The sequence below is a fragment of the Homo sapiens genome, chromosome 19 (assembly GCF_000001405.40).
Source record: "Homo sapiens chromosome 19, GRCh38.p14 Primary Assembly".
Taxonomy (NCBI): Eukaryota; Metazoa; Chordata; class Mammalia; order Primates; family Hominidae; genus Homo; species Homo sapiens.
The window spans coordinates 21,088,520-21,112,958 of NC_000019.10; the positions used below are offsets into that span (position 1 = coordinate 21,088,520).

Here is a 24,439-nt window from a genome sequence, read left to right on the forward strand (position 1 = left end):
ATATAATTTAGATCAAATGGTTTATATTTTGAAGACATTTTTATTTTCCCAATGATCTTTAAAACTGTTTTTATTTCAAAAAGATTACTTGTCACATGAACTAAAAGGCATTGCACTTTTTACTTTTCTGACAAAATATTTGATTTAAGCTCTTATTATTTTTAAACCAATTAATCAGGGTTCTTTTATATCACACACACAGACAGAAGATTCAGTAGTTGTAAGGTTTTTCTTTGTCAGTTTCTTAATTGGATTACTAGCCCACGACCAGGAAAGCATGTAGTTTCTATGGCTTAATAAGTAAACAGCTGGACAACAAAATGGATTCCCCCTAAATTAAGGCTCCCATTTTTACATCAGATCTTGTATCTAAAAAGGAGAGAATCAGTTCATCCCAAGGGAAGTCTTATTTCTCAGTGGGACATGGGGACACCTCCATACTTCCTAAGTGGTCCAGAGTATGTTTCTCTGATCCAAATGTGAAGAGCTGAGTTTTTCCCCATAATTGCCCTTAGCCATTCCAAAAGTATATTTCTCACCCAGTTATTACATGCCAAAGTTCTTTTATAATGTGAAGTAATTCCTGATACCCCCAAAAGTAAAAAACATCAGATAATGCAATGCAAAACAGAAGAGAAACTTAGATTTTGAGAGGGATCTATTCACTTCCAATTCCTGGGGTTTCATAAGGAAAAAGAGGTGTTTCCCAAAACAGGGTCTATAGTGTCTCTTCTGTTTTTCCCAAGGAGTCCCAGGCTGCTAGAGCTTGAATATCTGCTTTTAATTAAGCTGACTTTTAACCATAGTGCTCTTTTAAAAAGTCCTTTTAAATTTCTTATTACCAGACTTTAGTCAGGTCAAACGGCCAATATCTCTGGTTTTTGAATTTTACCAAAAGTAACTTCACAGGTGTTCTGAAAAAGGAAAATTCAAGGTGGTTTCTGGAGGGGAAGAGAATCAACAAATGGTAAAGCTCACCCAAATACCAAACAAGAAAGTACTCATTCCCTAAGCTGAGAATGGAACCCTGAACCTGGGCCACCATTAATGATGGTGGAGACAAGAGAAAGTACTATCATGTGGTCACAAGGTCAAGCGTCCAAGGACATGACTGAGCACTTTGCTGGGCCATCCTGAACAGCAGCCTTAAAGGGTCCTAGGCCTGCATTCTATCCTAAGGAACCCCTCTTAATGACAGAACCATACAGAAAGACAAATTTATAGCACAGAGTACAACAGATTTGTTACAGCTTAAGACTAACCTCACAAATGCATCTCCAAATTAATTAGAACTTTACATAGGAGATAAACAGTAATTTTTTTTACCATTCATTCCATCAGTTTACATAGAGAGGCTAGAATTCTGGTAAGAAATTTGTACCCTTTTGCCAGCATGCCAGGCTTCTGGGCTTCCTTTCCCTGGGTTGCCCTAGTGACGTGGCTGGCTGCACCACAGCCCTGGGGGCCAAGCCACAATACAAAGGAAAATTATCTTTTTCTATTCTGGCCATAGCAAAATATGTGTGACAACACAGACATTAGCTACTCTCCTTAGCAACCAATATCAAATGCAACTCTTAAACTTGGCCCCAGTTGGGCCCTGTCATCATTAATTCAACCTCTGATCAGGAGTTTCAACTTGAGGCCTCTGGGCAAGATGGTTACTCTGGGAATAGAAAAGATAAGAAAGGGAAAAGAGAGAAAAAGCATTGCCTGTGGCAGGTTGGGGAAGGCAAAGAGCTCAGGGGGCCAGAGAAAGACCTACCCATTGCAGTGATAATAAAAAGTTGAGGTGGCTGCTTCTTGGTAGGAAAGATTTTTTCCAGCAGTCCCATTAGCACTTAAGTTTTCCTTTTTGGAGAAGAAAAATATCCCTATGTCCCATGGTCCTGTAGATGCCTAATTCTGTCACCCATAGCCATCAGCAAAGAGTGCAAGACAGATTAATCCAAAGAGAATAGCAATGAATATCCCGTAGTGTCAAACCAGTTCTTGCTGAGATGGATTTTACTGAGAGGTTTACCCAGGTATATGCACCCCACTCACCCAAAGTCAGCCAGTTGGTGCACACAGATGATTTTCCTTTGGGTCAGAGTACAGTCCCTTTGTGGTTGCCAGAAAGATGTTACTGGAAAGAAGTTCTGTTCCAGACCCCAAGAGAGGGTTCTTGGATCTCGCTCAAGAAAGACTTCAGGGCAAGTCCATAAAGTGAAAGCAAGTTAATTAAGAAAGTAAAGCAATAAAAGAGTGACTACTCCATAGGCAGAGCAGTCCTGAGGGCTGATGGTTGCACATTTTTATGGTTATTTCTTGATTATATGCTAAACAAGGGGTGGAATATTTATGCCTCTCCTTTTTTTTTTTTTTTTTTTTTTTTTTTTTTTGAGACAGGGTCGCGCTGTTTTGCCAGGCTGGAGTGCAGTGGCATGATCTCAGCTCACTGCAACCTCCGCCTCCCGGGTTCAAGCAATTCTCCTGCCTCAGCCACCGAAGTAGCTGGGACTACATGCACATGCCACCATGCCCAGCTAATTTTTGTGTTTTTAGTAGGACGGGGTTTCACCATGTTGGCCAGGATGGTCTCAATCTGTTGACCTCGTGATCCACCCACCTCAGCCTCCCGAAGTGCTGAGATTACAGGCATGAGCCACCACATCTGGCCTATGCCTCTCCTTCTTAAACTGCTATAAGATAACTTCCAGATGTTGCCATGGCATTTATAAACTATCATAGCACTGGTGGGAGTATAGCAGAGAGGATGACCATAGGTCACTCTCATCACCATGTTAATTTTGGTGGGTTTTATCCAGCTTCTAATACTGCAAACTGTGTTATCAGCCAGGTCTTTGTGACCTGTATCTTATGCTGACCTTCTATCTCACCTTGTGAGTTAGAATGCCTAACCATCTTGGAATGCAGCCCAGTGGGTCTCAGCCTTATTTTTACTCAGGCTCTATTCCAAATGGAGTTGCTCTGGTTCAATACGCCTCTGACAGAATCTGTGTCTGGCTATGTGATAAATAAGAAAAGAGAGCACCATCTAAGTCATAATGGGAAGGGTGTTTCTTTCCATAAACTATTTCTAGAGAACACAAAGGATGAAGGATTTTATTAATCACAGCTATTTACCCAGATTATGTTTGTGATTCATCATTCCCCACCTCTTTTCTTTGTCATGTACATTTCTTCCATTTGACTTTTCCTGGGTTGTACTTTTTATAATAAACTAGTAAACATAACTACAGTGTTTTGCTGAGTTCTGTGAGTAGCTTGATCTAATTATTGAACTTGAGGAAGTTTGTAGGAGTCCCCAGTTTTTAAACAGTAGCTCAGAAGCATAGATAGGCCTATGCGGTTTGTGACTGGCATCTACAATGAGGGCAATGTTGTGAGACTAAGCCCTGAATCAGGGTCTGTGCTGACTCTGGGTGGTGTCAGAATTCAAATGTTAGACATTGAGTTGCTGTTGGAGAATTGCTTGGTATTAAGCTAACTCTACAGATTTGGTGCCAGAAGAAAGATATCACAGAGGCCTGTCCTGGAATAAAACTCTTGGTATCTGGAAATGGGAGGCTCTGCTCTCCTGTACACAGGCTTTCACACTGCCCATTGTCCTGGGATCCCAGGCCTCCTCCCAGGGTGAGAGAGGATGAAAACTTAGAGGAAAGGAGCTCTGATGACAGACCCCCTTTTCCCACAGCTGCCACCACAGGATTCCCACCCACTCCCAAACATGCCCACTAGACATTGACATGTGCACACCACTCCCAGGACTAGGCACCACCCTCAGGAATTTCACCACAGCATTGTTGATTTTAGTGTTTCTTGACAAAAAGCCACAAAAGTGTCAAGTCTCCTGGCATATCCCAACCCCCAGACAGTGAATCTGCAGCAGCAAACTATTTTCCCCAGCAACCTAGAGTTCTGGGCCTCCTGTTCCTAATCTCATTTAACTGCATGGGCACAGAAATAAATCAGAGTCCAGCCCCACCTGGGCCACTATCTGTAAAACAAAAACTCCGTCCACTTACATTGCATTCTTCCCCACGCATGGATTTTTTTTTTCTTTCAACTTTTCTTTTTGGTTCAGGGATCCATGTGCAGCTTTGTTATATACGTAAAATTGTGTCATGGGGTTTTGGTGTAGATTATTTTGTCACTGAGGTACTAAGCATAACACCAAACAGGTACATTTTCTGTTTCTTTTGTTCTTTCATTGTCTATTCTCAACTAGGCCTCAGTGTCTGTCGTTCTCCTCTTTGTGTCCATGTGTTCTTATTATTTAGCTCTTATCAATGAGAACATGCATTTGGTTTTCTGTTTCTGTTTTAGGTTCCTAAGGATAATGGTCTCCAGTGTCGTCTATGTTGCTGCAAATAACTTAAACTTTTTTTTTTTTTTTTTTTTTGAGACAGAGTCTCGCTCTGTCAGCCAGGCTGGAGTGCAGTGGTGCGATCTCGGCTCACTGCAAGCTCCGCCTCCCGGGTTCATGCCATTCTCCTGCCTCAGCCTCCCGAGTAGCTGGGACTACAGGTGTCTGCCACCACGCCTAGCTAATTTTTTGTATTTTTAGTAGAGAATTTTTAGTGTTAGCCAGGATGATCTCAATCTCCTGACCTTGTGATCCACCTGCCTCGGCCTCCCAAAGTGCTGGGATTACAGGCGTGAGCCACCATACCTGGCCTTGCAAATAACTTAATCTTGTTTTTGTTTAATTTATTTATTTTTTGAGATGGAGTTTTCACTCTTGTTGCCCAGGCTGGAGTGTGATGGCGCCACCTCAGCTCACCACAACCTCCGCCTCCTGGGTTCAAGCAATTTTCTTGCCTCAGCCTCCCGAGTAGCTGGGATTACAGGCATGCGCCACCACTCATGGCTAATTTTATATTTTTAGTAGAGATGGGGTTTCACCATGTTGCCCAGGCTGGTCTCAAACTCCTGACCGCAGGTGATCCGCCCGCCTCAGCCTCCCAAAATGCTGGGATTACAGGCTGAGCCACCACGCCCAGCTTGTTTTTTTTTGTTTTTGTTTTTTTGTTTTTTTATTGGCCACATAATCTTCCATCATGTTTACATACCATACTTTGTTTTTATTAAATCTTCTATTTTATTTAATTAATTAATTTTATTTGGAGACAGTGTTTCACTCTGTTGCAAAGGCTGAAGTGCAGTGGTGCAATCTTGGCTCACTTCAGCCTCAACCTTCCAGGCTCAAGGCACCCTCTTCAGCCCCCTAAGTAACTGGGACTACAAGCATGCACCACCATACCCAGTTAACTTCTTTTTCTATCGTTTGTAGAGATGGGGTTTTGTCATGTTGCCCAGGCTGGTCTTGAACTGTTGAGCTAAGGTAATCCACCTGCCTCGGCCTCCCAAAGTGCCGGGATTACAAGTGTGAACCACCTCACCTGACCATACCTTATTATTTTAATCTAGTCTACATTAATAGGCAATTAGATTTGTTCCATGTTTTTGTTTTTTGTTTGTTTGAGACGGAGTCTCACTCTGTTGCCCAGACCAGAGTGCAGTGGCACCATCTCAGCTCACTGCAACCTCTGTCTCCTGGGTTCAAACGATTCTCCTGCCTCAGTTTCCTATGTAGCTGGGACTACAGGCACATGTAACCACACCTGGCTAAATTTTGTATTTTTAGTAGAGATGGTGTTTTGCCATATTGGCTAGGCTAGCCTCGAACTCCTGACCTCAGGTGATCCACCAGCCTCAGCCTCCCAAAGTGCTGGGATTACTGGCATGAGCCACTGAGCCCAGCCCATGTCTTTGTTATTGCAAACAGTGTTGTAATAAACATGCATATGCATGTGTCTTTATGGTAGAATAGTTTATATTTCTTTGGATATATACTCAATTTGGAGGTTGCTGGGTCAAACAGTAATTCTGTTTTCAGTTCTGTGAGGAATCACCACACTGCTTTTCACAATGGTTGAACTAATTTACCCTCCCACCAGCAGTGTATAAACATTCCATTTTCTCTGCAACCTTACCAGCATGTTACTGACTTTGGTTTTTGAGACAGTCTCACTCTGTCACCCAGGCTGGAGTACAGTGGTGTGATCTCAGCTCATTGCAACCTCCACCTCCTTGATTCAATAGATTCTCATGCCTTAGTTTCTGGAGTAGCTGGAACTACAGATGTGTGCCACCAAGCCTGACTAATTTTTGTATTTTTAGTAAAGATAGGATTTCTCCATATTGGCCAGGCTGCTCTCAAACTCATGACCTCAAGTGATCTGCCTGCCTTGACCTCCCAAAGTGCTGGGGTTACCGCACCCAGCCTGTTACTTTCTAACAACAGCCATTCTGAATGGTGTGAGATGGTGTCTCATTGTGGTTTTTGTTAGTTTGTTTTTGGCATTTCTGTAGTGATTAGTGGTGAGCATTTTTTGCACATGCTTGTTAGCCACATGTTTGTCTTCTTTTGAAAAGCATCTGTTCATGTTTTTTTGCCTACTTTTTAATGAAGTTTTTTTTTCTGTAAACCTGCCTAACTTCTTTATGAATTCTGGGTATTAAACCTTTGTCAGGAACATAGTTTGCAAATATTTTTGTTTATTTGGTATGTTGTCTGTTTACTCCATTGATAGTTTCCTTTGCTATGAAGAAGCTCTTTAATTAGGTCCCTGTTGGGAAAAAGCTGGGTGTTGGGAGGGAAACTGAGGCAGGCCTTGCATAATGTCCTCTGGAATGTGTCTAGACCTGCTGGCTCCTTGCTTCTAGCTTTCCTAGGTTCCTATTCCCATTATCTCAAGTAGCAGAACATGTTCCTTATAATGCTAAACCATCACAGCTGTAGATCATGCGCCTGCTCTTTTGACCTCCACGTTCTCACCACCTGTTTCTTTGTTGGATTATCAGTAAATACCGTGGGCTCCCAGAGCTCAGGGCCTTCACAGCCTCCATAATGGTGATGGCCCCCTGGTGTTCCATCTTTTATTTTTTTTTTGAGACAGAGTCTCGCTCTGTCACCCAGGCTGGAGTGCAGTGGTGTGATCTCAGCTCACTGCAAGCTCCGTGTCCCGGGTTCACGCCATTCTCCTGCCTCAGCCTCCCGAGTAGCTGGGACTACAGGCGCCCGCCACGACACCCAGCTAATTTTTTTTTTGTATTTTTAGTAGAGATGGGGCTTCACTGTGGTCTCGATCTCCTGACCTCATGATCCGCCCGCCTCAGCCTCCCAAAGTGCTGGGATTACAGGCGTGAGCCACCGCGCCTAGCCTGGTGTCCCACCTTTATATCTCAAACTGTCTTTTTTCTCAATCCTTTGACTCCACCGGACTTTGTCACCCCCACGACCTGATGTTGGGTCTGATCACCCCAAGAGGTCCCATTTGTCAATTTTTGCTTTTGTTGCAGTTGCTTTTGGTATCTTCATCATGATACATGTAGATACGTGTGGTAAGACAGTGAAACTCCAGGGCCTCATATGACTCTATGGTGAGGCCAGAATCAAGTATGAAGGCTTCAAGATACATTCCTGAGAGTTAAGTGCCACATTTGCACTAAAGGGTGGCTTCAGGACCTGTTCTGTTTGGGTTTGGTAGGGACAGGGCAGTGGCCCATATTTTCATATTTTCATTACTGTAGTAGAAATTGTTGGTGTCTGTGGCAGGGGAGGGCACCTGTGGACGGTAAAAGAGGAACATATATTTTTATTTCCGTGGAGCAACTCATTGTTCCTGAATCTCTTCTGTTATAAAGGAGAAAGATGAGTGGACTTTTTGGTCTTGGTCCTTCTGTCTGTGAGTGTGAGGCTAGTAGGTAAGCAGGTGGTGCTGATGCCTTTAAGGGACTTGTCTCAAGATGCAGGTGTTACTTGTCCAGAGAATTTTATCTGAAAAGGATTTCTAGAGGAGGAGAAAGAGGAAAAATGCTTCTTTTCAGCTAAACATATCTCAGATCAAGAGCTGTGTCCACTCTGCCTCCTGGAGTGCCATGAGTTTAGTACTTGCAAACCTTTACTTCTCTACTTCTGTTTTCCCTCCCCAATGATTTTGTTTCACATACTTTTAAAAATTCTTGTGATAGTCAAGGATCTCTAAAAAATATTTCTATCCTATGTACGAGAGCCTTCTCTACATCATGGCTTCTTATATGCAATGCAGAATTCCTACCATGAATTTATGATCTGCCATATTAAAAGTGTTCCTTTTGTGGCTGCTGAACATGGGAAGATGTGGATACTCAAGATTCCTATTGGGGGAAAGCTGGGGTCCTTAGTAAAGATGGAGAACATATAATGTTGAGGTGTCGCTTGTGTTCTCCATTAGCTCTATGCAGAACAGGATTAAGAATATGCTTATTTAAACAGGATGGCATTTATTTATTTATTTATTTATTTTTATTGTTTGAGACAGAGTCTCGCTCTGTTGCCCAGGCTAGAGTGCAGTGGCGCAATCTCAGCTCACTGCAAGCTCCGCCTCCTGGGTTCATGCTTTTCTCCTGCTTCAACCTCCCAAGTAGCTGGGACTACAGGCGCCCACCACCACACCCGGCTAATTTTTTGTATTTTTAATAGAGACGGGGTTTCACTGTGTTAGCCAGGATGGTCTTGATCTCCTGACATCATGATCCGCCTGCCTCAGCCTCCCAAAGTGCTGGGATTACAGGTGTGAGCCACCACGCCCGGCCTGTTCAGGATAGCATTTATTACCCAGGAAGTTCTGGAGAAAATTATTCAGAGATACCTGCTTTCTAGGATGCTAAAGAAAGGACTACTTAAAATCATTACTAAAAATTATAGAACATGGGAGATATCTTGACCTTCGCATGAAACTGATTTTTTCTTTATGGTTAAATTCAGTCTATAATTGACTTTTTGAGGGGCAATATCTCAGCAGTGATGTTGTGTTCTTCTTTGTGCATCAGCACATCATAAAAATTTATTCTAGTGTTGTTGATGTTAATAATTTGCTTGGTTAAAGAGCTCTCTGACTTTTTTTCACTATAGAGTTAATTGTTTTTCTCTTTATTGTTAAGTATCTTTATGTAGCTAATAAACTATCACATTTAATCTGGCACCTGCCCTTTTTTCTTAGGTTTTTTTGTTTGTTTTTTGCACATATGTGTCTTTGGAAAATGAAGGCTCTTATCTTTGTTTACAGACCAAAAAAGTTGGGAAAAACACAATCTCTTTCACTTACTGAATGTCTGACAAAATAGTCTTCTGGGGTCAAAAACATTGGCATTGCTAGTAACCTTGTTAGAATTTTAAAAACTCAGACTTTATTCCAGATCTTCTGGGGAAAAAAAAAAAAAGCTTCACAACAGGATCTCCAGTTTATTGTACATATTTAAATTTGAGAGGTACCATCTAACTCAACATGTCTTTTTTTGTCTGAAAAATATACACAACTCATTATGATGTAAATATAGCACTCAAAAATGTATACGTTTGTGTCCTTAATTATATTCTTTATCATCCAGAAAAGTATTATATATGCACTGGTGTTGTGGATCTTATGCCATTCTCTGCCCTCAGAGTAATACATTAGAGAATATTTCTGTGTTAAAAATTATTGGATAATTTCAGTTATTCTTATAAGTCAACCAATTCTCTTTACTCTCTCATTTCACCTTAATTCAAATAATAAATTCTGCCCATGGCCACTTGGTAAATATACGTGTGTCTGTGCGTATGTGTTTTTCAGGAGACGTTGACATTTAGGGATGTGGCCATAGAATTCTCTCTGGAGGAGTGGGAATGCCTGAACCCTGCTCAGCAGAATTTATATATGAATGTGATGTTAGAGAACTACAAAAACCTGGTCTTCTTGGGTGAGAATAACTTTAATACATAAGTCTTAATATACCCTAAACGTTTTATGTCTCTTTTTTTGTAGAATTTTCTTTGGTAATTTATGCTTTGTATAAATGAGTTTCTGATCCCAGTTTTCAAGAAAATCTTGATGATTTGTCTCTGTAGAAAAGAATTTCTTCAACATGTTTCATCCTGACCTGAACTTTCCACATTCCTGAGCTGATCTGCATCCTTCACTCTAGATTAGTGGTAATTCCAGAAATTTGGTGGCATAAAATATTGCCCGTATCTTAAAATCTATTTTCCACTGTCAATTTTTGATTCATGAGTACCAGGTAGTGAAATTAAGGACCTACAAATTTAAAATATTTTCTAAATAGTTAGAGATGTGTCTCATTAATTAGTATTTTAGGATTAATTTTCTAAAATATTCTATTATATCCTTTTTACTGAGCACAGTACTAGGTTGGTAACTAGAGAATATAAGCAAGATTTATGCTATTTACTTTTAATAAAGCAGGTATTGCTGTCTCTAAGCAAGACCCGATCACCAGTCTAGAGCAAGAAAAAGAGCCCTGGAATATGAAGATATGTGAGATGGTGGATGAATCCCCAGGTAGGTGAGAGTGAACACAACAGATGACACAGATGAGAGGTACAAAGGTAAAAAAAAAAAAAAAGCAAGCCGGCCCTTACAATGTGATTTGGGAAGCTGTTTTGCAAAGTATATAGTTTCTGGGAAGACTGAATATTTTCTTAAAATTTTCTCTCACTAAAGGGCATCTTCTGTCTTATGCTTTTAAATTCTCTAAGAATTTTCCTTTTCCTTGGGTGAACACACAAATATCTGCATAATTTTGAAAAACACTGTTTTTTTTTGTTTTGTTTTGTTTTGTTTTTTGAGACAGAGTTTCGCTTTGGTTGCCCAGGCTGGATTGCAGTAGCGTGATCTCAACTCACTGCAACCTGTGCCTTTTGGGTTCGACGATTTTCCTGCCTCAGTCTCCTGGGTAGCTGAGATTACAGGCGCCTGCCACCACACCCAGCTAATTGTTTTGTATTTTTAGTAGAGACGGGTTTTTACCATGTTGGCCAGGCTGGTCTTGTACTCCTGTCCTCAAGTGATCTGCGCACCTAGGCCTCCCAAAGTGCTGGGATTACAAGTGTGAGCCACCGTGCCCAGCTGGAAAACTCTATGTTACATTATTTTTTAGTTCTCTTTTTGCATCCTGTCTGAAATATGTGAGAGTAGTGGTTTCTGTTCCATTAGGGGTTTCTTGTTAATTTTTCTGCATAGTCCATCCTGTTTTTATTACTATAGTCTTAAAATATAGTTTGAAATTATAAATTATGATGTCCTGTCCCTCTGCTTTGTTCTTTTTTTTCTCAAGAATGCTTTGGCTATTTGAAGTTTATTGTAGTTTCTTGTAAATTTTAGAATCGTATTTTCTATTGTGAAAAAAATGCCACTGGAATTTTATTAGGAAGTTTATTGAATGTGTAGATGACTTTAGATAATATGGCACTTTAACAATATTTATTCTTTCAATCCATAGACATGAAATTTTGTGTTGTTGTTGAGACAGAGTCTCGCTCTGTCACCCAGGCTGGAGTGCAGTGGTGCAATCTCAGCTCACTGCAACCTCCACTTTCCGAGTTCAAGTGATTCTCCTGCCTCAGCCTCCCTAATAGCTGGGATTACAGGCATGTGCCACCATGCCCGGCTAATTTTTGTATTTTTGGTAGAGACGGGGTTTCACCTTGTTGTCCAGGCTGGTCTCGATCTCCTGACCTTGTGATCCGCCCACCTTGGCCTCCCAAAGTGCTGGGATTACAGGCATGAGTCACCATGCCCAGCCGACATAAAATATTTTTAAATTTATTTTTGTCTTCTCTAATTTCTTTCATTGATATCTTATATATTTCATTGTAAAGATTTTTTACCTTGGCCAGCCGCAGTGTCTCACACCTGTAATCCCAGCTCTTTGGGAGGCCAGGGAGGTGGATCCCCTCAGGTCAGGAGTTCGAGATCAGCCTGACCAACATGGAGAAACCCCGTCTCTACTAAAAATACAAAAGTGGCTGGCCATATTACAGGCATAGATTACATGCCTGTAATCCCAGCTACTCAGGAGGCTAAGGCAGGAGAATCGCTTCAACCCAGGAGGCAGAGGTTGTGGTGAGCCAAGATGGCACCATTGCACTCCAGCCTGGGCAGCATGAGCAAAACTCCATCTCAATAAAACAAAAAGATTTTTTACCTTCTTGGTTAAATTGGTTTTCAGAAATTTATTATTTTAATACTATTATAAATAAGATTGTTTTCTTTATTGCATCAGATAGTTTAAGTGTATGGAAGCATAACGTATGTTAATTTTATATTTTGCTAATTTACTGACTGTATTTATTAGTTTAGACAATTTTGTTGTTGTTCAAGACAGAGTCTCACTGTGTCACCCAGGCTGGAGTGCAATGGCGCGATCTTAGCTCACTGCAACCTCCACCTCCTGGGTTCAAATGATTCTCCCGTAGCCTCTCAAGTAGCTGGGACTACAGGCGCCCACCACTACACCTGGCTAATTTTTTTTGTAGTTTTAGTAGAGACAGGGTTTCACTATGTTGGCCAGGCTGTTCTTGAAGTCCTGACCTCGTGATTTGCCCGCCTCGGCCCCCAAAAGTGCTGGGATTACAGGTGTGAGCCACCAAGCCCGGCTTTTTAGACAAATTTTAATGTACTGTTTATGGTTTTTTATATAATAAGATCATACTATCCACAAAAAGCAACTTTTTACTTATTTCTCTTCAATTCCAATGGCTTTTTAAAAATGTTTTTGACTAATCCTTGTGCCATACACTTTCAGTGCTTCATTAAAATAGAAGCATTGACAATGGGCACAATATAGTTTTATATTGATATCTGTGAATTTGAAGGAGCAAACAACTCCTTAAGCTTTTGTTATCTGGTTTCAGGAGGTAAAGATCTTTTTCTGTTGTGTCCCTAGGGTGATGGGATGCCCTCTGGGTTTGTAGTGAAGAGGGGTTGTAGCTTGGTCACAAGACTGCTCAGTCTGCACTAGCATCCACCTTTAGATGGTTTGTTACCAAGGGCTTGGGTAATCATAATTTCCATTTTATTTTTGGACAGATTATTCTTTAAGACTTTGATCTGTAGGGCAGACACGAGGGCAGTGTCTGCAGTTGGCTCCATATATAATGGCCCTTATATCAGGATGTGAATGGGTTTGCCTTTCACTGAGTACCAGAGAGGATTTCCTCAGGTCACTGTGTGAGTTTCTACTTAAGCAAAACTGGTCATGAACTGTGGCTCAGAGAGCTGGAACTGAGTCATTAAACTACTTCAGGGACTACAGTAAAAACCAAGGCCTGTAGGCCTGTCTGCATGGCTGCAAATGGGTGTCTTCCTCCAGGTCTCTGAAAGGGCAGGACCTCTCTTAGACTGTAACTGGGAGGAGTTTGGGATGGTTACAGAGTTAACTTCAGAATTCTCTGTTGGACCAAGTTGCGTGGGCCATTTCTTGGTCTGTAGCCAAAACCAGGGGTCCTGTAGTTTCTCACATGAATAAGTGCCTGTCCTCTGAAAAAAACACTCCTCAATCTTGGGCTTTAGCAGAGTTTCACAACTCCCTCCCTGGGTCTCAAAGCTCTTCTAAAGGCACTTACTTGGGAGATGGGATCTTGTTTATCATCCGGGCTGGTCTGGAAATCCTGGCCTGCAGCAATTCTCCAACCTCAGTGTACCATGTAGCAGTCATTACAGATGTGAGCCATGATACCTGGCTGTCTCATAAAGGCATTTTTTTGTCAGGGATGACTGAAAAACTTTTTTGCTGTGGTGAGGATAATCAAATAGAGCACCTTTTATTTTTTCATGTCACTGATGTTACTGTTTCTATACATTTTTACTTTCTATTTTCCATTTCAAACTTGTCTGTAATTTTAGATTTGGACATTTAGGACAATATGCTAGAATTTACATGTTATGCCTGAAATAAATTAGATAATTGATAGGCACTCCATATTACTAGAATGGTTACTTAAATTTAAGTTTGCTGCAGGTAAAAAGGAATTATAGGATTTTCACCCACTTTCTTCAGCATATATCTAAATGATAATTTACTTGTAAATATTTGTTTTACATATCAGAGGCTCTAACCCTATTTTGAAAAATATAAGTTTTAATTTAGCAATGTAATGCTGTTCTTTGCTTAAGTTGGATTACAGCAGTTTCATTTTGTGTAAGAATAGCATATATTTAAAACATAAAAATTATCACATTTCTTTTACATGCTTATTAAAAGTTTCTCATTAGTATGTTCTATTTATAATTATACTGCATATTCTGTGAAATTTTACTGCCACATAGTGCATGCCAATTATTCGAAATACCTGCCTTCCATGAGTACACAAATATTGTAGTTATCCAGACAATTCTTTTTTAAAGGTATATTAATGTTGCATACCAGATTTTATGAGTAAACATGTCTCTTACTGTTGTGCAGTTTTCATGTTAGTGTTTTTTCAGTGTAGGTTTCTTAACATCAGCTTATTGTGTTTTTTAGTTTTTCTTATATAATTTTAGCCAATTTGCAGTTCTGTTTGTATACTTTAAGTCAATGTGATGTTTAATTAAGAGATAAATCAGCCATACATCTATCACAATCGGATTATATATGTGTGTGTGTTTATCTATAAATATGACCCCAATATTGGTTATGGCTTATCTTGTATACTTTCTTAGCTGATTTTCAGTGGGTATTTTATCTTGTCTAAGCGAGTAGTCATGGAAATACTTTCATTATGTCTTATTATCTCCATGTGTCTAATGATGAATATATATTTCCTTTGTGTGAGAGAAACACTTTTTGTGATTTGAAGGTAATTTTTGAGAAGATTTGTAATTTAGTATTTTTTCCATTTTTCCTTTAGAAAAAGTAATTGTTGTAAAAACACATAACAGGCCTGGCTCGGTGGCTCACGCCTGTAATCCCAGCACTTTGGAGGCTGAGGCAGGCAGCTCACTTGAGATCAGGAGTTCCAGACCAGCCTGGTCAACATGGTGAAACCCTGTCTCTACTAAAAATACAAAAATTAGCTGGACATGGTGGCCTACGCCTGTTGTTCGGGCTACACAGGAGACTGAGGCAGGAGAGTCGCTTAAACCCAGGAGGCAGAGGTTGCAGTGAGCCGAGATCACGCCACTGCACTCCAGCCTGGGTGACAGAGCGAGATTATGTCTCAAAAAAATGAGAAGAAAAAACAGTAAAAACATATTAAAATTTAGCATCTTAAGTCTATTTAAGTGCACATTTCAGGGCCAGACGTGGTGGCTCACATCTGTAATCCCTGGATTTTGGGAGGCCAAGACAGGAGTATCATTTGAGCCCAGCCTGGGCAACATTCGGAGATTCCCTCTCTACAAAAATTTTTTAAAATATCCAGGCATGTTAGTGTGCACCTGTGGTCCCAGCTATTTGGGAGATTGAGGGGAGGATTACTTGAGCCTGGGAGTTTGAGGCTGAAGTGAGGCATAATTTTGCCACTGCACTTCAGCTTGAGTGACAGAGTGAGACCCTGTCTCAAAAAGAAGCTGTACATTTCAGTCATGTTAAATATATTCACATTGTTATGCAAAAGACTTCTAGAAATTTTACATCTTGTGAAACTAAAACTCAGTACCCATTTAAGTAACAAGAACCCATTTTACCCTCTCCGCGGCCCTTGACAAACACCGTTCCACTTTGTTTTTATGAGTGTGACTGCTTAAGATATCTCATATACATAGTGGAATCATACAGTTTTTATCATTTTGTTATGGGCTTATTTCCCATGACATAATATTTTCAAAGTTTATCTTAAAATGTGACAAGATTTCTTTGATTATATTTGATTTAATTATGATAATATTTGATAATCTTTGATTTCTGTGATATTGGATGTATATGTTACATTTTTTATGTGTTTGTAAATTAAGAGACAACTGGGTTGCTTCTGCCTTTTGGCTTTTGTGAATACTGGTACAATAAACATGGATGTTCGAATTTGTGTTCCAGGCCCTGTGCTTCATATTTTGGAAATATATTCATAAGTGAGATTGCTGTATTTGATGATAATTCCATTTTTAATTAAGAAGCATTTATAACATTTAAAATAATGGTTGCATCTTGTTTTCTACCAACAGTCAACATAGTTTTATTTTCATTGCATCATCAACAGATTTGGTGTTTTAAAAAAAGGTATAGTGGCCATTGTAATGAGTGTGAGGCAATTTTGTTTTTTCATTTTATTTATTTATATATTTATTTATTTATTTATTTATTGTGATGAAGTCTTACTGTTATCACCCAGGCTGGAGTACAATGGTGCAATGGCTCACTGCAACCTCCGCCTCCTGGATTCCAACAATTCTCCTGCCTCAGCCTCCCGAGTAGCTGAGATTACAGGTACCTGCCATCATGCCTGGCTAGTTTTTGTATTTTTAGTAGAAACGGGGGTTTTCACCATGTTGGCCAGGCTGGTCTTGAACTCCTAACTTCAGGTGATCCTACCTGACTCGGCCTCCCAAAGTGCTGGGATTACAGTCGTGAGGTGAGCGCCCGGCCTCATTTTTATTTTTATATGTTTCTCTGCAAATCATTAATTCTGCTTTTCTTTTCAAATGTTTTATCCCATTTGGGTATATTTTTTGATGAAAATTATTTTTTCATTTCTTTCTTTTTTTTTTTTTTTTGAGACGGAGTCTCACTCTGTCTCCCAGACTGGGGTGCAATCGTGTGATCTTGGCTCACTGCAAACTCTGCCTCCTGGGTTTAAGTGATTCTCCTGCCTCAGCCTGCCTCAGCCTTCTCAGTAGCTATAGGTGCCTACCACCATGCCTGGCTGACTTTTGTATTTTTAGTAGAGTTTCACCATCTTGGTCAGGCCAGTCTTGAACTCCTGACCTTGTGATTCACCCGCCTCGGCCTCTCAAAGTGCTGGGATTACCTGCGTGAGCCACCGGGCCTGGCCTTACTTTTTCATTTCTAAATAAAGTTATTCAACTTTATTGTTCAGTTTTAAGAGTTGTTCATATACTCTGAATATTAACTACTTTCACTTGTGAGTTCCATATATTTTCACCCACTTCCTAGATGACATTTTCAGTCTATTGAATTTTTTTTAATGTGCAGAAATTCTGAAGTATAGTGTAGTTAAATATTTCTGTTCTTTCCTTTGTTGCATATGCATTTAATGTCGTATCTTAGGAAATGGTGCCAAGACCCATGTCAAGTTTTTTTTCTAAGAGATTCGCTAGTTTTTTGTTTTTTTGTTTTTCTGTTTTTTCTTTTTATGTCTAAGCATTTTATTTGAAATATTTTTTGGCCAGGCGCAGTGGCTCATGCCTATAATCTCAGCACTTTGGGAGATGGAGGCGGGTGAATCACTTGAGGTCAGGAGTTGGAGACCAGCCTGGCCAACATGGTAAAACCCCGTCTCCACTAAAAATACAAAAATTAGCCGGGCGTGCTAGTGCATGCCTGTAGTCCCAGCTACTCGGGAGGCTGAGGCAGGAGAATTGTTTGAACCCGGAAGGTGTAAGTTGCAGTGAGCCGAGATCATGCCACTGCACTCCAGCCTTGGTGACAGAATGAGACTCCATCTCAAAAAAAATAAATAGGCCAGGCGCGGTGGCATATGCCTGTAATTCCAGCATGTTGGGAGGCTAAGGCGGGAGGGTCACGTGAGGGTCAGGAGGTTGAGACCAGCGTGGCCAACATATAGTGAAACCCCATCTCTACTAAAAAATACAAAACTTAGCTGGACATTGTGGCATGTGCCTGTAGTCCCACCTACTTGGGAACCTGAGGCAGGAGAATCACTTGAATCTGGGAGGCAGAGATTTCAGTGAGCCGAGGTCGCACCACTGCACTCCAGTCTGGGCAATAGAGTGAGACTCCGTCACTCCAAAAATAAATAAATAAATAAAATAAAATCGGGCCGGGCACGGTGGCTCACGCTTGTAATCCCAGCACTTTGGGAGGCCGAGGCGGGCGGATCACGAGGTCGGGAGTTCGAGACCAGCCTGACCAACATGGTGAGACCCCCATCTCTACTAAAAATACAAAAATTAGCTGGGCGTGGTGGCAGGCGCCTGTAATCCCAGCTACTCAGGAGGCTGAGTCAGGAGAATCACTTGAACCTGGGAGGCGGATGTTGTAGTGAGCCGAGATCGTGCCACTGCACTCCAGCCTGGGTGACAGAGCAAGACTCCGTCTCAAAAAAAAAAAAAAAACAAATATTTTTTGTATATGGTTCAAGGAAATGATTCAACTTTATCAGTGTTGTTATCCAGTTTATGGCATTATTTTTTGAAAAGATTATCTCTTCTCTGTTGTGTGCTCGTGGCAACCTTGTGGAAGATCATGTAATCATATACAGAAGGCTTCATTTCTGGGCTCTCCACTCTTTTCTTTCATCTGTTTATCTGCCTTTGTGTCAGTACCATACTGTTTTTGTTATTTTAGCTTATTTATGTATGTATGTATGTATGTTTTGAGATGGAGTCTAGCTCTGTCACCAGGCTGGAGTGCAGTGGTGCGATCTCGGCTCACTGCACCTCTGCCTCCCGGGTTCAAGCGATTATCCTGCCTCCAGCTCCTAAGTGGCTGGGATTACAGGCACACGCTGCCACACCCCGCTAATTTTTGTATTCTTAGTAGAGACAGGATTTCGCCATGTTGGCAAGGATGGTCTCGATCCCCTGACCTCGTGATCCACCCACCTCAGCCTCCCAAAGTGCTGGGCTTACAGACATGAGCCACGGTACCTGGCTTATTTTAGCTTTTAATATGTTTTAAAATTTGGAAGTATAATACCTCTTTGTTCTTTTTCCTGGGCGTTTGGCTGGTTATAGTTCCAAATCAAATTTTTAAATTTTAGACAAGTTTTCTTTCTTTTTTTTTTTGAGACGGAATTTCGCTCTTGTTGCCCAGGCTGGAGTACAATGGCGCAATCTTGGCTTACCGCAACCTCCGCCTCCCGGGTTCAAGCAATTCTCCTGCCTCAGCCTCCGGAGTAGCTGGGATTACAGGCATGTGCCACCACGCCTGGCTAATTTTGTATGTTTAGTAGAGATGGGGTTTCTCCATGTAGGTCAGGCTGGTCTTGAACTCCTGACCTCAGGTGATCCGCCCACCTTGGCCTCCCAAAATGCTGGGATTGCAGGTGTAAGCCACCACACCCAGCCATAGACAAGATTTCTATAATGAAACTGTACTTTTGGGATTTTTAAAGAGCTTATATTGAATTTGTTTCCCACTGTAGTTTGTACTGACATCTTAACAAAATTAATTTTATTGACCATTGAACAAAAATACGTTGAAGAGTGTCTTTTATTTTTATTTTATTTGTTTTAGAGACAGGGTTTTCTTACGTTGTCCATGCTAGTTTTGAACCTCTGAGCTCAAGCAATCTTCCTGCCCAGCCTTCCTAAATGCTAGTATTGGAGGCATGAGCCACCGTACTCAACCCATGTGTTTTATTTTTAGATATTCTTGGATTTGCCAGTTTTACTTTTTAATTTCTAGTTTTATTCAGTTTTGGTCAGAAAACAAAGTGTATGATTTTGGTCTTCTTATTTATTGTCGTTTTGAGACAGGATCATATTTATCACCCATGCTGGAGTACATTGACATAAATTTGACTCACTGCAACCTCAGCCTCCTTGACTCAAGCGATCTTTCCACCTCAGCCTCCTATGTAGCTGAGACTACAGACATGCACTACCATGCCTCGCTAATTTTTTTGGTTATTTGTAGTAATGGGTCTCACTAGACAGGGTCTCACTGTGTTACTCAGGCTGGTGTCAATCTTCTGATCCCAAGTGATCCTCCCACCTTCATCTTCCAAATTATTGGGATTGTAGGTACCAACCACACATCCAGCCAGTATTTAATAAGACTTGTTATGTGTCCTAACAGAATACATCAGGTGCAAATAAGAACATTGTGTTGTTTCTTGCTTTTAACTGAAAAGTTTTGTACCTATCTGTTAAGCCTAGTTGGTCTGTGGTATGGTTTGGATGTCTATGTCCTGCAAACCTCATGCTGCAGTGTAATCCTCAATGTTAGATGTGAAACCTGGTGGGAGGTGTTTGGGTCATGGGGACAAATTCTTCATGAATGCCTTTGTGCTATCCTGGTCATGAGAAAGTTTTCACTCCATTAATTCAAATGAGAACTGGTTCATTTAAAGAAACTGACTCCTTCACCTCACGCTTGCCGTCTCTTACCATGTGATATGTCCAGTTACTCTTTGTCTTCCACCATGATTGTAAGTTTCCTGAGACCCTCACCAGAAGCAGATGCTGTTACACCCTTCTTGTACAGTCTGCTGAGCTGTGAGCCAAATAAACCTTCTTTCTTTATAAGTTATACACTCAGGTATTCCTCTTTATGCAAAATAGTTAATACAGTCTATAATGTCTGTTTTCTGTTTTCTTATTGATCTTTTATCTGAATTTTCTATTTATTATTGCAAATGATGTCTTGATCTCTACAATTATGTTGCTATGTATTTCTTGCTTCACCTTTGCCAAAATTTGCTTTGTATATTTTGGAAACCTCATGTTATATATACAGACACATATACATATAAATAGATATGATAGTTATAGATTCCTGGTAAATTGACCCATTTGACCATTATGTAATACTGTGTTTGTCCTATGCTAGTACTTGACTTAAAATACATCCAATATAATTATTACCACCTCATCCAATTGTGGTTACTATTTGCATGGAATATAGTTTTTTTTCCATTCTGTTACTTTCAACCTATTTGACTTAATGCTAAAATGAGTCTCTTATAGACAGCAAATTGTATGCTTTTTAACTTAAGCCACTAAGCCATCTTATTTTTTCTTTTTATAAATTTATTTATTTTTGAGATAAAGTCTCACTCTGTCAACCAGGCTGGTTTGCAGTGGCATGATCATGACTCACTGCAGCCTCAACCTCCCAAACTCAGATGATCTCATTTCAGCTTCTTGAGTAGCTGGGTTGCAAATATTTGCCATCCCAAGCCCAGATAGTTTTTTGTACCTTTTTCTGTAGATACAATTTTTTGCCCTGTTGTCTAGGTTGGTCTCAAACTCCTGAGTTAAAGTGATCAGATTCCTCAACCTCCAAAAGTTCTGAGATTACATTTTTTAAATAAGTAGTTTAATTAATTTATATTTAAAATGACTGCTTAAAGATATAAAGTTACTATTACCAGTTTCATTGTTGTTTTTTTTTTAATTTAATTTAATGTAATTTAATTTTATTTCAGGATACATGTGCAGGATGTGCAGGTTTGTTACATAAGTAAACGTGTGCCATGGTGGTTTGCTGCACTTATTAACCCCTCACCTCGGTGATAAGCCCTGCATGCATTAGCTATTTATCCTGATTCTCTCCCTCCCCTGCAACAGGCCCCAGTGTGTGTTGTTTCCCCCCATATGTCATGTGTTCTTATTGTTCAGTTTCCACTTATAAGTGAGAACATGTCGTGTTTGGTTTTCTGTTCCTGTGTTAGTTTGCTGAAAATAATGGCTTCCAGCTCCATCTCTGTCTTTGCAAAGTACATGATGTTGTTCCTTTTTTATGGCTGCATAGTAGTCTATGGTGCATACGTACCACGTTTTCTTTATCCAGTCTGTCACAGATGGGCATTTGGGTTGATGCCATGTCTTTGCTATTGTGAATTGTGCTGCAGTGAAGATACACATCCATGTATCTTTACAGTAGAATGATTTATATTCCTTTGGTATATACCCAGTATAATGGGATCGTTGGGTCCAATAGTATATCTGGTTCTAGGTCTTTGAGGAATCGCCATACTGGCTTTCACAATGGTTGAACTAATTTACATTCCCACCAAAAGTATAAAAGCATTTCTATTTCTCCATAGCCTCACCAACATCTGTTGTTTCTTGGCTTTTTAGTAATCACCATTTTGATGGCATGAAATGGTATCTCATTGTAGTTTTGATTTGCATTTGTTTAATGATCACTGATGTTGAGCTTTTTTTCATGTTTTATTGGCCACATAAATGTCTTCTTTTGAGGCGTGTTTCTTCTTGTTCTTTGCTTACTTTTTAATGAGGTTGTTTGTTTTATTCTTGTAAATTTGTTTAAGTTCTTTGTAGACTCTGGATATTAGCTTTTGTCAGATGGATAGATTGCAAAAATGTTCTCCCATTCTGTAGATTGTCTGTTCACTCTGACAATTTATTTTGCTGTGCAGAAGCTCTTTAATTAGATACCATTTGTCAATGTTTGCTTTTGTTGCAATTGCTTTTGACGCTTTCCTCATGAAATCTTTGCCCATGCCTATGTCCTGAATGGTATTGCCTAAATTTTATTTTAGGGTTCTTGTAGTTTTGGGTTTCAAATTTAAGTTTTCAATTCATCTTGAGTTAATTTTTGTATAAGTGTAAGAAAGGGGGTCCAGTTTCAGTTTTCTGCCTATGGCTAGCTAGTTCTCCCAGCACCATTTATTAAAAGGGAATCCTTTTCCCATTTCTTGTTTTTGTCAGGTTTTTCAAAGATCAGATGGTTGTAGATATGCAGTCTTAGATTTCTGAGTTCTCTATTCTGTTCCATTGGTCTATGTGTCTGTTTTTATAACAGTACCAGGCAGCTTTGGTTACTATAGCCTTCTAGTATAGTTTGAAGTTGGATATCATGATGCCTCCAGCTTTGTTCTTTTTGCTTAGGATTCTCTTGGCTATATGGGGTCTTTTGGGGTTTCATATGAATTTTAAAATAGTTTTTTTCTAATTCTGTGAAGAATATCAGTAGTAGTTTAGTCAGAATAGCATGGAATCTATAAATTACTTTGAGCAGTATGGCCATTTTTACAATATTGATTCTTTCTGTCTTTTTGTTTGTGTCCTCTCTGATTTTCTTGTGCAGCGGTTTGTAGTTCTCCTTGAAGAGGTCTATCACTTCCCTTGTTAGCTGTATTCCTTGGTACTTTATTCTCTTTGTAGCAGTTGTGAATGGGAGTTTATTCATGATTTGGCTGTCTGCTTGTTTATGGTTGGTGTATTGAAATGCTTGTGATTTTTGCACATTGATTTTGTATCCTGAGACTTTGCTGAAGTTGCTTATTAGATGAAGAAGCTTTTGGGCTGAGACAATGGGGCTTTCTAGATCTAGGATCATGCTGTCTGCAAACATGTCGTCTGCAAGCTTCTGCAGACAGAAGTTTGACTTCCTAATTGAATACTGCTTATTTATTTCTCTTGCCTGATTTCGCTGGCTGGAACTTCCAATACTATGTTAAATAGGAGTGGTGAGAGGGCATCCTTGTCTAGTGCTAGTTTTCAAGGGGAATGCTTCCAGTTTTTGCCCTTTTAGTATGATATTGGCTGTGAGTTTGTCATAGATAGTTCTTACTATTTTGATGTATGTTCCATGAATACCTAGTTTATTGAGAGTTTTTAACATGAAGGGATGTTGAATTTGATCGAAGGCCTTTTCTGCATCTATTGAGATAATCGTGTGGTTTTTGTCTTTAAATCTGTTTATGTGATGAATTATGTTTATCGAGTTTTGTATGTTGAACTAGCCTTGCATCCCAGGAATAAAGCTGACTTGATTGTGGTGGATAAGCTTTTTAATGTGTTGCTAGATTCAGTTTGCAAGTATTTTATTGAGAATGTTTGTATTAATGTTTATCAGGGATATTGGCTTGAAGGTTTTTTTGTTTGTTTGTTTTTGTTATATCTCTGCCAGGTCTTGATATCAGGATGATGCTGGCCTCATAGAATGAGTTAAGGAGAGGCCCCTCCTTTTCTATCATTTGGAATAGTTTCAGAAGAAATAGTACTCTTTGTACCTCTGGTAGAATTTAGCTATAAATTCATCTGGCCCTGGACTTTTTATGGTTGGTAGGCTATTGGCTATTTGTTACCGCCTCAGTGTCAGAACTTGTTATAGGTCTATTCAGGGATTCAACTTCTTCCTGTTCAGACTTGAAAGGATGGATATGTCCAGCAGTTTATCCATTTCTTCTAGATTTTCCAGTTTTTGTGCACAGAGGTGTTTATAGTGTTTTCTGAAAGTTGTTTTTATTTCTATGGGGTCAGTGGTGATATCCCCTTTATCATTTTTTATTGTCTATTTCATTCATCTCTCTTTATAGCTAGTGTCTATTTTATTAATTTTGTCAAAAAAACAGCTCCTGGATTCATTGATTTTTTTTTTTGAATGGTTTTTTTGTGTCTCTGTGTCCTTCACTTCCAGTCTGAATCTGGTTATTTCTTGTCTTCTGCTAGCTTTAAGGTTTGTTTGCTCTTGGTTTTCTCGTTCTTTTAGTTGTGATGTTAGGGTGTCCATTTGAGATCTTTCTGGCTTTTTCATTTGGGTATTTAGTGCTATAAATTTCCCCATGAACACTGCTTTAGCTGTATGCCAGAGATTCTGGTACATTGTCTCTTCATTCTCATTGGTTTCAAATAGTTTTTTTATTTCTGATTTTTTTTTTTTTTTTTTTTTTTTGAGACGGAGTCTCGCTCTGTCGCCCAGGCTGGAGTGCAGTGGCGCGATCTCGGCTCACTGCAATCTCTGCCTCCCAGATTCAAGTGATTCTCCTGCCTCAGCCTCCCAAGTAGCTGGG

The 24,439-nt window shown here is 39.9% G+C and overlaps 1 protein-coding gene across 4 annotated transcripts in view; it reads left to right on the top strand.

The window, feature by feature from the left end:
* ZNF714 (zinc finger protein 714) overlaps window positions 1–24,439 on the top strand; it is a 42,892-nt gene that overhangs the window by 6,317 nt on the left and 12,136 nt on the right. For 2 of the 4 annotated variants that reach the window (NR_117087.2, NM_182515.4), the window contains exons 3-4: window positions 9,666–9,792; window positions 10,293–10,391. Coding sequence is in view for 1 of the 4 variants with exons in the window: in NM_182515.4 (NP_872321.2) it covers window positions 9,750–9,792; window positions 10,293–10,391 (142 nt within the window). In the remaining 3 variants the exon portion in view is untranslated. Of the gene's footprint in view, window positions 1–9,665; window positions 9,793–10,292; window positions 10,392–21,103; window positions 21,126–24,439 lie in introns of all 4 variants that reach the window. The other 2 variants (NR_117086.2, NR_117088.2) reach the window with 2 other exon arrangements.